Genomic DNA, 4,644 nt, shown 5'->3' on the forward strand with positions numbered 1-4,644 from the left:
CCATTATCTTTAGTCAACTAATACAGGAACAGAAAACCAAATACCGCATGTTCTTACTTGTAAGTGCTAGCTTAATAATGAGAACACATGAACACAGCAGGGAACAACACACACTAGGACCTATCAGAGGGTGGCAGGTGGGAGGAGGGAGAAAATCAGGAAAAGTAACTAATGGGTACTAGGCTTAATACCTGGGTGATGAAATAATCTGTATGACAAACTCCCATGACACAAGTTTACTGATGAAACAAACCTGTACACATATCCCTGAACTTAATCCTTTACCTATGATTTTTAAAGAAAAAAAGCAACTATGCTTGACATCTAATAATTGTGCTTAAGTATGGATAAAATACAAATTGAGATACATTGTTGGCATATCATGTTAATTTCTATTTTTTAATTAGTTTTCTCTACTCTATACCTTGACTTTCAGTAAAAATTCTTTCTTGATTTTAATGAGACATTTATGGTATTTTCTTAGAAAACATGATTTTAGTGTGATTAAAAATTATACTCAATGATTAAAAATTATATTTCACCTTTAGTTTAAAGTTGTTCTTTTTTTAACAATGTATTCAATTACATGAAGAAGTGATCAAAGTACTTAAGATTGTTCTTTTTCTTAATTTTTATTTTTTTTATTTTTAATTATGTGGGTACATAATACATGTATATATTTATGGGGTACATGTGATGTTTTGATACCAGCATACGATATGTAACGACCACATCAAGGTAATTGGGATATCTATCACCTCAAGCATTTATCATTTCTCTGGGTTCAACATAGACAAATATGCCAGGACAAGAAGAGGTGTAAAATAAGAAAAGGTGGAAACTGCCTGTGTAACTTTGTATTTGTGTAAACTTAAAAGAAAATGAGGAATATTGACAGAAGTCACATTACTTTGTAATTGTAGCTAGAAATAGCTTTATTTAATGCAGTAAACAAGTGTCAGATAATTCACAAAATAGTTTCTAATAGAATGAATAAAATAAAAATAAAAGAGTTGACATGTTAGCTTGAGAGACCAATGGAATAATTCAGCATTTTTATAAAATAGGTTTTTTTTAGTGAAAACAAGGCAACTGGAACTTCCCATATTAAAGGAATGTCTTGGTGCTGATCAAATGCTACCAGGGAACAAGCCACTCTACCTCTAAGCAAGCTTTCTGGAAATTGTCTCAGAGTTGTGATTTATAAAATAAGATTAAAAATTGTTTGCACAATAACTCAAACCAGTAGTATATTTTTAACCAGAACATCATTTATTTAGTCAATCTGAGGCAATTGCAATTTTATGTAATCAAGTTAGACTATGATTCATAAGGTTATGTAGACTACAACCATGCTGTAAGTGGTAATAATAGCCAGTGTGGACACATCTCAGAGGGGAAAGATATCTAGAACCACCACTCATTTTCCATTCCAGTAGGCAGATGAGAGAGACTAGAGAGCCCATTAGAATGAGAAACAATGAAAAATTGTTTCTAATGAGGATATTCCTTCAGCCTACCCATAATTTTTATGGACATGCTGACCAAATTTTCCTATCATTCTTAGCACTTAATGGTTTTGGAGTCATTATACTTCCTCTCAGATATAAACTTTGATTTCATGAGTGCACAAAATACTTTTAAATAATTATCCTAAAAGCTTGTTTAAGGCATTCTTGGATATTTTTCCATAAAAAGAATTAATCAGTACATAAATATTCTCTAGAAAAGGAACTTGTGGGAGCTTTAGAAGGGCCTAACACTGTAAAACACTCTAAACACATAGGAACAGCACCCAGGACCACCAAAGTACTTAGTATCATGTGAAAAAGTTGCTCTACTTATGGCAAATGTGTTGTAGTACTAGGCTTGATTTTATTCACTTCCAATACCAAAGGGGCAATTCTTTATTTAAGAGAACAAACCACATGGAATTTTTCTCCATGTAATGAAGGAAAACAGTTGACACAGACACTGAGATTAACTAAGAGCTGCAAGCCTAGGAAGTAAGTTGATATTCAGCTAGACATTGAAATACCTGTTTTCTCCCAGGATTTATTTATCTCACATCTGCTTAAACCTAGTATTTTTTTAGTGAATCAGAAATATGATCCAGGCAAATAAGAAAAATTTCAGTAAGTTGGAGTGTAGTGATAGTCAAGTTGACTGATTATAAGAAAGAAGCCACTATGGAACGTATACAGCATAGATGTACAGATGTGCCTCACCCCTCCCATGCCACATTAAACTTACTATAAATGTCTATCTGGGGTTGAGACCTTCAATATCTTAAAATTCCACAGGTATTTCTTCAGTGCACTGAGGGTTGCAAACCACTGGTCTAGAAACAATTAAGGCTGAATTAAGGAAATCTTGACAATGAATCCCCATCAGAATATACCTTATTTTAGAAGTTACGATTCAACAGTCATAGTTTATTTTGTTGTTGAATATTATCTTACATAGAACTTAACTCATGTTGACAGCATGTGCTAACTGCAGTCACTGCAAGGAGGAAAAACAATTCATATGCCTAGTCGGGGTGAAGCTAAAAAAAATGACTTCCCTCATTCAAAAGTTGAAAGAGTTGTGAAATATCTTTAATGAAAAGACAAAGACCACTGATTTGGCTTATATTATGAAAAATATTTTAATGAATTTTCTAAAACTTTTGAAGCATTGGGAAACCTCTGGTTTTTCTATTGCTTGCCCTTTTGAAATGTCGGACTGTGGTGTGGATGAATAGCCTTCTAAGATGCATGGGTTTTGCACATGATGTTTTGTGTGCCTACACAGGGACAATGCCTATATAGATACAGAATGAATTTGAGGTTTTCAGTTGGGTATTTTCTTCCAGGTGCAGTATTTCCATCTGTGATAATGTGGCTTTGTGTGGACCTCATAAGACCAACACATCTAATTCTCCCCCCAAAAATGGTCAAGGTCATGCACACTATATTTTATGGGTTTTTGGGGTTTTTCTCCAAATTCATATAGACATTATGTGTGAGTCTAAAAGATATCTTCATAAATCAGCTGTAGAGCATGAGAAGGGTGGTCAACTACTATCCAAGGGGCATAGAAAATAATGAGGGTAGCTTTAATTTGAAATAGAGGTGTTAATCTCAGGTCCCAGGGTAAGCATTGTTTCAGGATTAAGCATAATCCAATATTTCTCTAATATAAGATTTTTAATTTTTAATTTAGTAAAGTTACCTGGTGATATCTTATAATTGTGCCTTTCTCAGAAAAATGTTATCAGCCTTGAAAGTACATTTGAATCATTAGCTATGACTTCATCCCCAGAGATTTTGATTTAATTGATGTTAAGTAGGGCCTGGGTATGTTTTGCCTTGTTTCATTTTTGATATTTTAATATCCCAAGGACTTCAAATATCTTACAATAATAACATCTATATTTATAGATGTTGGTTTATAAGTGTATAGAACCTGAAAATCTGTACATAAAGGAGTGGTTCAACCATATTTACATGGATATCATAAGATGTATTGAGGGAAAATAAGTAACATGCAGGACGGGCATTTCTGACTCAGGATGAGTAACAGTGTCAGAGTTTTGCATTTTTTTATTTAAAAGCTCTCCTTATCTTTATCATAAAATATGTAACAGAATTTTATAGTGTTGGGATAGAACCGAAATTGGAAAAAATGTTGATATTTTGCAAGGAGAGAAAGGACTTTGCCCTTTTACCTGTGAGGAGTGCTTAATGTGTCTATTTTAAATTATTCTCATGAATTTAAATTTCCAGTTCCAAGAGTGCACATGGTGGCACCTATAACATTTTCTAAGATTTCCAAAATACTATAAAATATTCTCATGTTCTCAAAGGCAGAACCAGCCTTTTAAAATTTAATTTAATCAGCACTTTAAAAATTATCCTATGAATTGATGGGTGTAGACTAGATAGTTATCCCTAACTATTTTTTGTCTCCTCATAACAGAATTAAATCTTTTTAGCTATTGCTATGTGTCTTGCCTGTGCATCTAATGGAAATTGTATACATCCTTGCCTCACTGATTTAGGGCTTGATAATATGACATAATTTGACCAATGGGATGCAAGTACAATAAATTTAGCTCCATCCTGGCAGAAGCTTCAGTCATTACATAGTTTGGTTTGGGTGCTTTTGCTTTTCCCCTAAGTCATGAGAGAGCAGACTTGCATGTTAGAATAGGGAGACAGATGGAACAAAACCACAGTAAGTCTGCAGTCTTTTAAAAAGCAACATAACAACAAACCTTCACAATCACAGCAACCCACAGCTGACCCTTAGTATGAGTTAAATGGCAAAATATATTGCTAGTAACACTAGACTTATTTGCTATACAGAATTGCTACAGCAAAAGTATAGACAGTTATTGACAATATATATTTAGCTATTGATAAAATGTATCCTAATATTAACAATAGATATATGATTCAAGGGCATACCAAACACATCACCTATTGACAAACACCAGGTCTGGATACGTATCTATTTATATTTCAATGGGTAAACAATGGGGAAACAGGAGCTTACCATAAAAACAAAACAAAAACAAGGCATAGTAAGCATTTTAAAACCTCAAAAGAAGAAAATAACTCCTAAAAAGGAAAAATTTCTTGGCAATATCTGGAATCA

The 4,644-nt window shown here is 33.3% G+C and overlaps 1 annotated feature.

Moving 5' to 3' along the window:
• Positions 3,063–3,232: an enhancer, noted in NCBI's record as "experimental_14563 CRE fragment used in MPRA reporter constructs". NCBI's record gives its function as "activates a minimal promoter by MPRAs in K562 erythroleukemia cells, with activity observed for both the introgressed and non-introgressed 10:66719459 variant alleles {active_cell/tissue: K562}" and the evidence as "EXISTENCE:reporter gene assay evidence [ECO:0000049][PMID:34662402]".

This window comes from Homo sapiens, chromosome 10 (genome assembly GCF_000001405.40).
Source record: "Homo sapiens chromosome 10, GRCh38.p14 Primary Assembly".
In the NCBI taxonomy this organism is placed as follows: Eukaryota; Metazoa; Chordata; class Mammalia; order Primates; family Hominidae; genus Homo; species Homo sapiens.